General features: G+C 39.4%; 1 protein-coding gene across 9 annotated transcripts in view; it reads left to right on the forward strand.

The window, feature by feature from the left end:
- The window catches only part of THSD4 (thrombospondin type 1 domain containing 4), a 686490-nt gene that overhangs the window by 451233 nt on the left and 222178 nt on the right, over nucleotides 1–13079 (forward strand). The gene's annotated exons all lie outside the window — the stretch shown is intronic.

The raw sequence follows: 13079 nt of genomic DNA on the forward strand, positions 1-13079 counted from the left end.
CTCCTGGAGTCAGTTTTTGATGCAGGCAAAGAGATTGGGATAGATGATCATTGAGTCCAGAGAGGGAAGCACCTTGGTGTATCCACCCTCACCTGCAAACAAGCCTGCAACGTATTTCCCTCATCCACTCCTTTCCCTCCTTACCCTGATGCCTGAGTAACGAAAGGACAGCCTTTCTCCTGCATCCATCTTCGTCTTTGAAAAGCCAAATGAAAAGTGTATCTCCTAAAAAGGCCATGAGGCCACTTCACAGCTTTGCCTTTTGTTAGCCTTGTCAGGGACCAAGCAGGCTCTGAAAGCCTAATGTAATTACTTTCCCTTGTCTAAGAAGAGTGGAAGTGGGAGTGCTCCCAAGCCCACGGCTGCAAGGCTAGCTGTGGTTTCAGCAGGCTTGTTGCTCTGTTCAAAACAGACATGCAGCTCAGAGACATGCAGCAACGGGTCACTTGTTGTAGGCTTTTCACTTATTAGTTACTCATGTCCTCTGCTCTGTAGACATTTTCTGGGCCTGTGGGGGGATTGAGCCCTTGAATGGGAGCAGGAGGAACTGAATGGGTGAGTGATGCTGGAAGCTGAAAGCAGACCATTGCCCTCTAGTTGTAGTTGAAGTTCGCAATTTCCCTGTTGATTTTTTTCGTGTGTAGAGTGAATGACAAATGGGCTGGCCTCACTCAGCCTGGAGCATTTAAGCAGGCGAGAGGAGAGCTCATATGGAAAATATTTCTATCACCGCTGCATGCACATATGGTCTGGGGAGACCCCCGAACTGAGCAAATCACAGTGCTCCAGCAGCCCCTCAGTGGTGTGCCAATTATTCTTATTAACAGCAAGCAAAGGGCAGGCTTTAGTTACCTGCACACAGCTGACTCGTGGGGAAGGCCACGCCGGAATCTGTGTGCCCCTAGCCTTGTGTCACATGCAGAGTGGCAAATGGCTCTGCTTCACCTGACAATCAGCAAAGCAGATGAAAAATGAAAGGGATTATACAGGCTCACCCAAATCTTGGTGCTTTTCAGACAGTGCTCAGCGTTTGAGAGAGGAAGGCAGAGGTTTTGTCTTATGAGTTAAAAGTATGTGTGCTTAACATGAATAGCTAGAAAACCCGATCAGAGGTAGTGAGATGCCTGCCCTCCTGCCCCTTTGTTCCACTCTGCTTTGCTAAGTAAAGATCCTCTTGGGCCTCTTCCTCTTTTCTTTCTTGCTTTCCCTCTTTCCCCTAGTGTGTGCATGTGTGTGCATGCGTGTGTGAGTGCGTGTGTGTTTCTGTGCTGTTGGCTCCAGAACGCCTGAGCTCCTAGGAAATTATACAATTAGGATTCCTTTTTCCTTCTTGGAAATGAAATGATGAGGAAGGAGCATGAGTATGAGTAGCCCCCACCTCTTAAAAAGAATGTAGTTTATATAGAGCTTTGAAGAATGTGGCATTTATTTATAACAGCCTCTTTTTTATTGTCGTGTTACTTGCAAAACTTACCCATAAACATGTGGCGTCGTCACTAAGTCACCAGGATTTTCCTTTTCTCTGCCAGCTGGTTTTCTTGCAGGTTTTAATTATCTTCCCTTTGGATGTTCCTAAAAACACATGAGGAGAAGGAAGAATGGGTAAGAAAGCGTCATACACCTGGGGGCGCTTGGAGGGCTGTGTTCTCCACGTGGGGCTGGAAGCCAAGCGGCACACTCTGGGAAGCAGTTTACAGTCAGTTTTCTAGGGTGTGAGGTCCTTTCAGATAAGCAGGACCTGGCAGGTGGGGAGAGGAGGGCTGTGATGCAAAGCAAGCCTTGTTTGGCGTCCTGTGGCTGGCACTGTCAGTGCTGGTGACTGTGGTCCAAGGACAGAACAACCTGGTATGGTGTCAGTGCATGGGTTGGAGGACAGACACAGAAAAGAACTGTGCCTTCTTTAATTTTCCCATTGCCAGAGCATTAAACTCAGAACAGTGAGATCATGAGAATCCCTTTTGTCTTAGTCAAGGTTAGGGTGGCAGTCGTGTACACTTGTACAGATGGGGCGTATCCCCGAAAAGACTGTAAAGGACTTTTAAAGTCAAGCTGGACTTTTGAGGCATTTGTCAGCGTGGGGAGCGTGCCAACGTGCAGCTTCTTTGCAGGATGCAGCAGAATGGCGGGGAAGGGGAGGTGGGAATGGGAGGCTTGCATTTTCTTTCTTGAACTTGGACTTACCTTCTCAGATAAGACCAATGAGACATTGTTATATGTAGGGACAGGGAGGGAGATGCAACTAGAAATCTGCTACATTCCATATTTGGAATAATATGATAAATTCTGCAAAGTGTGGTCAAAAAGATGTTCTTTAATTTTCTTATTTTTGAGACAGAGTCTTGCTCTGTCGCCCAGACTGGAGTGCAGTGGCACAATCTCGGCTCACTGCAAGCTCCGCCTCCCGGGTTCACGCCATTTTCCCACTTCAGCCTCCCAAGTAGCTGGGACTACAGGTGCCTGCCGCCACGCCCGGCTAATTTTGTTTTTGTATTTTCAGTAGTGATGGGGTTTCACTGTGTTAGCCAGGATGGTCTCAATCTCCTGACCTCGTGATCCGCCCACCTCAGCCTCCCAAAGTGCTGGGATTACAGGCGTGGATGTTCTTTAATTTTGACGGTACAGTATGGCAAAACCTATCAAAATGAAAAATAAATATCTTAGCTGCTGATGGGTACAGACAAGGTTTCTTTTCATGGTGATGAAAGTGTCTTGGAATTAGGTAGTGGTGATGGTTGCACAATTTTGTGACTATCCTAAAAACTACTGAACCATATCCTTTAAAAGAGCAATTTTATGGCATGTAAATTATATCACAGTTTTTTACATTAAAAATAAATAAATGTCTTTTGGATCCAGATTTTCCATTTCTAAGACTTTTTATCATATAGGTCTACTCTGAGTGTGTAAAATGTTCTATGAGCCACCTGTCATAATTAGGTCCTTTCCATCCTACTGTCCTAGTGATAAGGCATGCTGTGCATTTATTCAGAAAGAATGAGGTAGCTCTAGATGTGTAATGAAATGACTACCAGGATATGCTTTTAGGTAGGAAAAGCAAATTGAATGTGCATAAAATGCTCCCATTGTGTAAAATGTGTTATCGACTATAATCACCATTGCAAATGCTACCAAGTGTATTAACCCTGTGCTGAAAAAAGAAAGGTGAAAAGACCAGATCTTTGTATTTGATGAGCTTATACTCTAAAAGGGGCACAGAATACAAACAGTGAATGATCATGCAATAAGGGTCTCTCATTAATTGCAAGAGCAATGGGAAGCTACCTAAGAAAGCAAAGAAAGATTCCACAAATGATGACATATTTGAACTGAGGCTTGAAGGGCTGTGTGTTGGGGGTCTTCAAGATAACCCCTAAGATTCAATTATCTGTCGTGATTCAGTGACTTAGCATACATTGGCAATCACAGCTATGATTTATTACAGTGAAAGTATACGAAGAAAATCAACAAAAGGAAAAGGTTCCTGGGGTAAAGTCTGGGGGAAACGAGATGGAAGCTCCCGAGGTTTTTTTTTCCCAGGGAAGGCACGCAGGACCCACTTACTTCCCCTAGCAATGGGTTATGACAACACATGGGAAATGTTGCCAGCTAGGAAGCTTGTTAGAGGCCTAGAGCCCAGCATCTTTACTGGGGCTGACCACATGCACACCCTCTGCCTGCCAGCTAACAAAATTCCAGACTCCCACAAGGAAAGCAGGTGTTCAGCATAAACCATATTGTCTATACAGTAGAGGCGCAGCAAGCAAGCCACCCTTACCAGTTCTGGGAATGATGGGAACCCTCCCCAAATCCAAGTTACCAGATGCCAGCCTAGGGCCAGCCTTGTAAGCAGATCTTTTCAAGGAGAGCAGTCAGGTCTGCAATCTTAACTCTTTTCTGATGGATAAGTAAGCACTTTAAGTGGGAAAAGAGGGGGAGCATTCCAGGCAGAGGGAAAACATCTATAGAGCCCCAGAAATAAGAAAGGACATGGCATGTTCTGGAAACAATGCATAGTTCAGATCACAGAAGCATCCATTGTGAGGGGATGTGGCGGGAAATTTGTCAGTCAGCTCGATCCTGAGAACTGGAGTTTTTCTCTGGGCCTATGAAAGTTCTCAAAATTCTAGATCTACAGTCTTAAGATTATCTTTTTATGACGTGTCATTTAGGTCATCATTGCAGGACATTTTCTTCTTCATAAATTATTTCCTAAGGAGTAAATCAAATTAAATAATGAATGTAGGACTGCTTTGTAAGCAGTGACACCCTTTATTTAAAAAACTAGTTGTCACTCTTCATTCCTAGAGTGTTATTTGTGGCAAATAGAAATGAAGGGTCAATGTAATGACCTTAATGACTATTTCGTGGTACACAATTCTCCCTGGCTTTGCCTTTCTTTTTCTAGTATCTAAAATAGCCAGTCAGCTATGTGGAACTCACTTGCTAATGCAAGACCCAAGTTTGAGCTTTGGGTCAATCACTTGGGTGAAAACTCACCATATGACTTTTCTCATTTAAATGTTTTTGTTGTTGTTGTTGAGACAGAGTCTCACCCTGTCACCCAGGTTGGAGAGTAGTGGTGCGATCTCAGCTCACTGAAACCTCTGCCTCCCAGGTTCAAGAGATTCTTCGGCTTCAGCCTCCCGAGTAGCTGGGATTACAGGTGCCCGCCACCATGCTGGCTAATTTTTGTATTTTTAGTAGAGATGGGGTTTCACTCTGGTCTCCAACTCCTGACCTCAAGTGATCCGCCCTCCTTGGCCTCCCAAAGTGCTGGAATTATAGGCATGAGCCACCGCACCAGCCTAGCAATTTTTTTACATTATAAAAACTATTGTAAAAACAAATTCAAGCAAACAAATACAGAGAATAAAAGTTAAAGGTTCTTCTTTACCCTCATTCTCTCCCCTATCCTTCTTCCCTGCCAAGATGAAATCGTTGTTAACAATTTAGCATCTGTCCTTCTAGAACCATTCTTGTACATTTATAAACGTAAGGGTATGTGCCTATGTGAGTGTCTGTGGGTTTATGTGCATATGTGTATGTGTATGCCTATGACTTGCAATGGCAGAGTTTTTCCTTCTTTTCTGATACCTGTGCTTCTTGTTTCTACCTCATGTCTAACTGCATTTGCTAGAACTTCCAGAATACAGTACTGAATAAGATAAATGAATGTGAACGTTCCTGTCTTCTACTAGACTTTTTTTTTTTTTTTTGAGATGGAGTTTTGCTCTTGTTGCCCAGGCTGGAGTGCAATGGCGTGATCTCGGCTCACTGCAACCTCCACCTCCCGGGTTCAAGCGATTCTCCTGCCTCAGCCTCCTGAGTAGCTGGAATTACAGGTTTTGTGCCACCACACCCAGTTAATTTTTGTATTTTCAGGAGAGACTGGGTTTCACCATGTTGGCCAGGCTGGTCTCGAGCTCCTGACCTCAGGTGATCCACCCGCCTTGAACTCTCAAAATGCTGGGATGAGCCACTGCGCCCAGCTCTTCCAGACTTAAATGGGAATGTTTCTAATATTTCATCACTAAGTATGATACCTGTCACAGATTTAGGTAGATACATTTTATCCAGTTACAAGTTTATTTCTAAGTTTTTATCAGGAGTGATTGCTGAATTTTATCAAATATTGTTTGCCTTTATCAAAATGCTCATATGAGTTGTTTCCATTAATCTACTTACATAGTGAATATATTATGGATTTCTTAATGTCGGACTGTCTTTGCATTCTTGGAATTAACTATCTTAATCATGATTTCTTCATTAAATTTGCTACTGTATTTGATTTATAAATATTTTAAATTTTTTCTTCTTTTTAAATAAGTGTTATTGGCTCTCGGCTGTATTTTATTGTGCTAGACCAGGGTTTTGATAGTTTTGTAAAATCAATTCTGAAGTCTTTCATCTTTTTGTATGCTTTGAAACAGTTTTGTTTTGTTTTTTCGTTTGTTTTTTGTTTGGTTTGGTTTTTTTTTTTTCAGATGGAGTCTCGCTCTGTCGCCCAGGCTGGAGTGCAGTGGCACGATCTCAGCTCACTGCAAGCTCCGCCTCCTGGGTTCACGCCATTCTCCTGCCTCAGCCTCCCGAGTAGCTGGGACTACAGGTGCCCACCGCCATGCCCGGCTAATTTTTTTTTTTGTATTTTTTTAGTAGAGATGGGTTTCACCGTGTTAACCAGGATGGTCTCCATCTCCTGACCTCGTGATCTGCCCGCCTCGGCCTCCCAAAGTGCTGAGATTACAGGCGTGAGACACCATGCCCCGGTTTTTTTTGTTTGAGACAAGATCTCACTCTGTCACCCAGGCTGGAAGTGCAGTGCCCCAATCACGTCTCACTGCAGCCTCAACCTCCCAGGCTCAAGTAATCCTCCTGCCTCAGCCTTCCAAGTAGCTAGGACTACAGGCATGCGCCGCCATGCCTGGCTAATTTTTTACTTTTTGTAGAGACAGGGTCTCACTGTGTTACTGTGTTGCCCAGACTCGTCTTGAGCTCCTGGACCCAAGTGATCCTCCCACCTCAGACTCCCCAACTACTAAGATTACAGGTGTGAGCCACCACACCCAGCCTCTGAAACAGTTTAAACAACCAAAAAGTTACCTTTTTTTTTTTTTTGAAGGTTTATTGAACTCAACCGTAACACCATCCAGCTCTTTAGTGGAGTGATGGTATTTGAGTATCTTTTTAACCATTTATTTTATTTCTTAAAAAGGCATAATACTGAATATATGTAGGAGAACATATGTAATATATAAGCAATTATGAAGTAGTATAATAAAGCAAACACGTATGAACTCACCACACAACTAAAGAAATCAAAATTCCCAGTACTATGCACCACTCCCCACTCATGTCCTCCTCGCTTCTCTCCTTGAAAGACAACCATCACCCTGAATTTTATGGTTTTCACTTCATTGCTTTTATTTATAATATAATCACAGGTGTATGTGTGTCTAAAGAATATGCTATTTGGGCCAGGTGCAGTGGCTCATGCCTCTGATCCCAGCACTTTGAGAGGTGCTTGCTAGAACTTCCAGAATGCAGTACTGAATTGGCGGGTCATGGAGAATGTGTTTGTTTAACTCTACAGTTAATGTCAGATTGCTTTCCACAGCAGTTGTATTAGTTTTCATTTCCACTAGTAGAATGTAAAAGTTCTCAATGATTTATCTCCTTTCCAGTATTAGGCATTATCAGACAGGTTAATTTTTACTGATATATAAGATATAAAATGGTATCAGTGTATGCTAATGGACATTTCTCTGATCATTAACTATTGATATTGTATAATGTTTATGTGTATACATATCATTCACGTTTCCTCTTCTGTGAAATGCCTGTTTGTATTTATTTTCTGGTTTTAAATTTAGTTCTTTGCTTTTTCACTACTGATTTAAGAGTGCTTTGTGTATCTTGAATATGAACCCTCTGCTTTTTATTCCATGTAATATTTTCTCCACTTTATGACTTGTAAAGTGTCTTTAGCTAAACAGAAGTCCTTGATTTTAGTGTATTTGAATGTATCCATTTTATTTCTTTGTGTTAACACTCTCTTTTTCTTGTTTAGGAAATTATTGATCCCAAGGTTATAGACATAGTCTCCTATATTGCTTTCTAAAATTATTGAGGTTTTGCACTTCACAGTTAAGTTTTTATACACTTAGAGTTAAATTTTCTGTATGGGGTAAATAAGGGATCTAATTTCATTTTTCATTAAGGGATCTAATTTTCTTTTTTCCCCATATTGGCAATGAGTTACTACAGGAACATTTATTGAATAGTCTTTCCCTTTCAACAAATTTCCAGGGCCATTTCTTTTCAGTACCAAGTTTCCATATATATGTCTATCTTTTTCTGGCCTCTGTATTTGCTCCATTGGACATTTCTATGTCTGTACAAGTAACATGCTGTCTTAATTACTATGGCCTTATAATAATCTGTGTAGGGCAAATCAGTTCGCATTATTCTTTGGGAGTGTCTTAGTTATTCTTAGACATTTGCTCTTCCTTATGAAATTTGAAATTATCACATCAATTTTCCTTGAAAAATCATTTAAGAATTTTTATCAGTATTGTATTGAGTCTATAGATCAATATGAGAACACTAAAATCATTCTGACATTGAGCCATTCTATCCATGAACATAGTGTATAAGCTTTACATTTAATTAAGTCTTCTTTGACATTTTCTAATAAAGTTTTACAATTTTCTACACAAAGGTCTTATACATCTTTATTTTATATTTAATCCTAGGTTCCTTATTTTTATTATAAATTATGTGTATGTTTTTCTAATTAATTTTTTATTTTGGTTGCTAATGCTTAGAAGTCCAAATGATCATCTGGCCATGGTGGCTCATGTTTGTAATGCTGGTAGCACTTTGGGATGCTGAGGCAGGCAGATCACGTGAGCCCAGGAGTTCGAGACCAGCCCTGGGTGAAACCCGTCTCTACAAAAAAAATAATAATAATTGAAAAATAGAAAAAATGTTAGCTAGGCATGGTGGTGTGTGCCTATATTCCCAGCTACTGAAGAGGCTAGGGTGGGAGGATTACCTAAACACAGGGAGGCTGACGCTGCAGTGAGCCATGATCATACCGCTTCACTCCAGCCTGGGTGGCAGAGTAAGACCCTGTCTTAAAAAAAAAAAAAAAGTACAACTGATGTTATATCAAAACAGCTTTCTAAACTCTTATTAATTTAAATCAGTTTTATGTAGGAACTTTTGTAATTTCTAGTACATAATTATGTAATCTGTGAATAATGGCCATTTTGGCTTTTTTCCTTTTCCAAATTCTTGTATATCTAATTTCTTTTTTAATGGCCATTTTGAGTTTGTTTCTTTTCCAATTTTTATAATTTTTATTTCTTAACCTTTGCAATGGCTAGAACCTCCAGCAAAATGTTGAATGGGGGCAGTATTATTTTGTTCCTGATTTGCTCAAGAGAACACTTCTGACATTCTGCCATTGAAAATCAAGTTTGCTGTAAGTTTATGCTTGTATTAGCTCAATAAACCCTCTTCTATTCCCAGTGTACTAAGAGATTTATTTTTTAAATCATGAACATGTGTTGAATTTTATCTGACACATTTTCTCTATTAAGATGATCATTTGGTTTTACTTTTTTAATCTGTCAGTGTGATAAATTACAGAAACAGATTTTATAATGTTAAACTATCCTTGCATTCCATGGATAAATCCAACTTGGTTATGATATATTTCTATTTTTATTAAATTAATTTTATAACATGACTATTTTTAAGAGGGTTCTTTAAAAAAATATATATTTGAGAGTGCCTGTAAACTTTTCTTTCTTATGGTTTACTTTCCTGTTTTGCTATAAGGCTATACCAGTCTTATAAATTCATTTCAGAAGTACTGCCTTGTTTTCTAATGTCTGGAGGATTTTCTATAATATAAAATTATTGTAATTTATTCCTAGAAAGTCACCTAAAAAACTGGCTAAGCCTGATGTGTTTTTCCCCCACAGGGAAATTTTAAACCACCAGTTATTTTTATTTAATAATTATAGGAGTATTAAGGCTTTCTATTTATTCTTGGAAAATGTTTAAAAGTTAAATATGTCTAGGAATTTGTCCATTTCATCTACGTTTTCCAGTTTATTAACATAAATGTGTTCATTATACCTTCTAATTATCTACAGCATCTGCAGATCTCCAGGTGCTGCAGAGCCCTTTTTTGTTTCCTAATATTGTTCAATTGTGCCTTTTATTTTATTAACCATTCTTTCCAGAATACTGTAAATTTTACTAATCTTCATAAAAAAATCAACTTTTGGCTTTGTTCTTCCTCTTCATTGAAGCTTTGTTTTCTATTCCATTCAATTCTGCTCTTTCCGCGGGTTTATTTATGTCATCATTTTTTTCTTTAACTTTAGTAACTTTTAAAATTTATGTGGGCCGCATGTGGTGGCTCACACCTGTAATCCCAGCACTTTGGGAGGTCGAGGTGGGCAGATCACTTGAGGTCAGGAGTTCAAGACCAGACTGGCCAACATGGTAAAACCCCATCTCTACTAAAAATACAAAAATTAACCAGGCATGGTGGCTGGCATCTGTAGTCCCAGCTACTTGGGAGGCTGAGGCAGGGGAATCGCTTGAACCCAGGAGGTGGAGGTTGCAGTGAGCTGCGACTGCACCATTGCACTCCAGCCTGGGTGACAGAATGAGACTCTGTTTCAGAAAAAAATATATGTGTGTGTATGTTCAGCTCATTTATTTTTAGCCTTTAATCTGTTCTAATGTATTAAAGATGGCAATTTTTTCTTGTAGTGTTACTTATGTTGCATCTCTTAAGTTTTGATATACAGTATTTTTATTATTAGTCAGTTTTAAGGTTTTTTTGTTTTGTTTTAAGACAGAGTCTCACTCTGTTGCAGTGGCAGGATCACAGCTCATACAGCCTCAACCTCCTGGGCTGAAGTGATCCTTCCACCTCAGCTTCCCCAGTAGCTGGGACCACAGATGCATGCCACCACATCTGGCTAATTTTTTAAAATTTTTTGTAGAGATGGGGTCTTTCTATGTTGACCAAGCTGATCTTGGACTTCTGGGCTCAAGCAATCCTTCCACCTTGGCCTCCCAAAGTGCTGGGATTACACACGTGAGCCACTGCCCCTGGCCTCAGTTTTAAATATTTTTAAAATTTTTCATTATGATATTTTCTCTGACCCAAGCACTATTTAATTATATTTTTAAGTATGGAGGGTTTCGGTGTTTTTTTAAATTTGAAATTAATTTCTAACTTGATTATATTGTGGTCTGAGAATGTGGTATGTGCGATGCTGATTTTTCTGAGATTTGTTGAGACTTGCTTTATGGCTTAGTATGTGAGCAGCCTCTGTAAACACGCCAAGTGTGCTTGAGAAAAATGTTGGTTTTGATGAACATTCTTGATAATTGGTTCGGAGACTTTTATATTTCTATTAAATCAAGGTTGTAGATTAGGTTGTTCAAGTCTTCTGTGTCTTTTCTAATGTGCGCTGCCTCATCTGTCAGTATTCGAAGAAGACATGTTGAAACCTCCCTCCAGCATCTTTGTTGGCCTGTGGAGGGGTGGGGCATGGCTGACCTCAGCATTCTTCAGGCAATCCTTTCCTTGATGTTAGTGGCCACTCTAGCTTTTGCTCACTGTACCTGTGGTTTCTGAGTTTAGAATTTTTTCATCTCTGCAATAGTCTGTTTTGGTGGTTTCTTCTGCTGTGGTTTCTTGCCAACATAAACTTTCTAATATCCAGAAATTCCTCAGAATGTTTTATCTGGTAATCATATCCTTTCTTGTTTTATAGTTGTCATTACAACTTGTGTGTTTTCTGCGATTTGAATGGAATTTTGCAAAGGAAAGAGGAAAACAAATACCTTTGCTCAATCTGCCATCTTGACCCTACATAAGACACATTTTTATCCTTCTTTTCCTCCTTTTTTTTTTTGCAATAAATGTTTATTGGGCAAGTAATTTTTCTAGACCTCTGCTTCTCTACCTTCTTCCCATAAAATGGGAAGAAGAATAATATTCATCGCAATGACATATAAGGAACATTAATAAGATAATGTTCATGAAAGTGCTTTGCAAACTGTAAAGATTTATTCAAATGCAAAGGATGGCCTTTAGTTCCTTACTTTAACTCACTCTCCTTTTGTGTAGCCGGTGTTATAAAGCAGCTCAGCTACATTAGAGAAAAGTGATTAATTGTGGTTAGCATATCGTGAGAGGCTCAAACAAAATTTTATTGTTACTTCTTGAGAAAATTTATTGCCAAGAAACTATTGAATACCTTAAGAGAAAGTCACATATTTAATAAATGAAAATATTATTTAGTCTAAAAACTAATGCTACAATGAGTATCTTTTTTCCTCCCTATTGTCTTATACTATACTTTTGACATGCATACTCAATTAGGCATTTCTCCTTTAAAAATAACATTTTACTTAAAAAACCTTATTTTCTGATTCAGCATATTCAATAAATTTATTTACTTTAGCTTAGAAAGTTAATATGAAGCAACAGAAAGAATGCTGAAATTTCAAGCAAGGCATTTTTAAGGGACAAAATGAGTAATTGATGTAAAAGACAGAGTGGTTTATATCAGAATGTATTGAATTCTGCCTGACTACAATATTTTTCATATTCCTACATTGCACCAAGGCAAAATAAACAATTCTGAATTAAATTCAACAACCATGTATTGAGTGCTATTTTTTGTGTCAAGTTTTGTGCTAAGTGCTGTGGAATTCATAAAGAGGTGAGACCCAATCTGCCCTCTAAAGACAGGAAACAACAAATAGGTTAGTGAGGGCTAAGATATAAATTACTCTAATAAACATATCACACTCTTTTGTGAGATCAGGAACAGCCTATGGAGAAAGTAGCATTTGAGATGGGATTGAAGAATGCTTAGGGGTTTCGTAGGCAGATATTAGAGGAATGCATTCCAAGTCATTTTTGTAAATGTTCTGTGGAAGCTTGTAAAGATGTACTTTCCATTTGTGTTATAAATATAGTTGTATATAATACGTGTGCAATTTTCCATGTAATTGTATCATTTCTTTTCTCTGTGTGGGTATGCTCTTATATTTCTTAGGTTCTACTAGAAGTAACTAAAATTAAGTGACTTCCTAAGTATGTTCCAGCCTTAACATTATCTGAATGTAGGAGTGACCACTAAACTACAAACACATATCATAAACCCCTTGAATAGAGTTGATGTCTTTTGTATAGTGGGAGAAAGTCCATGAGCTTTCAAACACACAGGCCTGAGCTTGACTCTCTGGTTCTTGCTTAGGCAGGCTACAAGTAAGTTCACTAAGCATCATTCTCTTTATCTTTTTTTTTTTTTTTTTTTTTTGAGATGGAGTCTCGCTGTGTCGCCCAGCCTGGAGTGCAGTGGCACAATCTCGGCTCACTGCAAGCTCCGCCTCCCGGGTTCACGCCATTCTCCTGCCTCAGCCTCCCGAGTAGCTGGGACTACAGGCGCCTGCCACCACACCCGGCTCATTTTTTGCATTTTTAGTAGAGACGGAGTTTCACCGTGTTAGCCAGGATGGTCTTGATCTCCTGA

The sequence above is a fragment of the Homo sapiens genome, chromosome 15, assembly GCF_000001405.40.
Source record: "Homo sapiens chromosome 15, GRCh38.p14 Primary Assembly".
NCBI classification, from domain to species: Eukaryota; Metazoa; Chordata; class Mammalia; order Primates; family Hominidae; genus Homo; species Homo sapiens.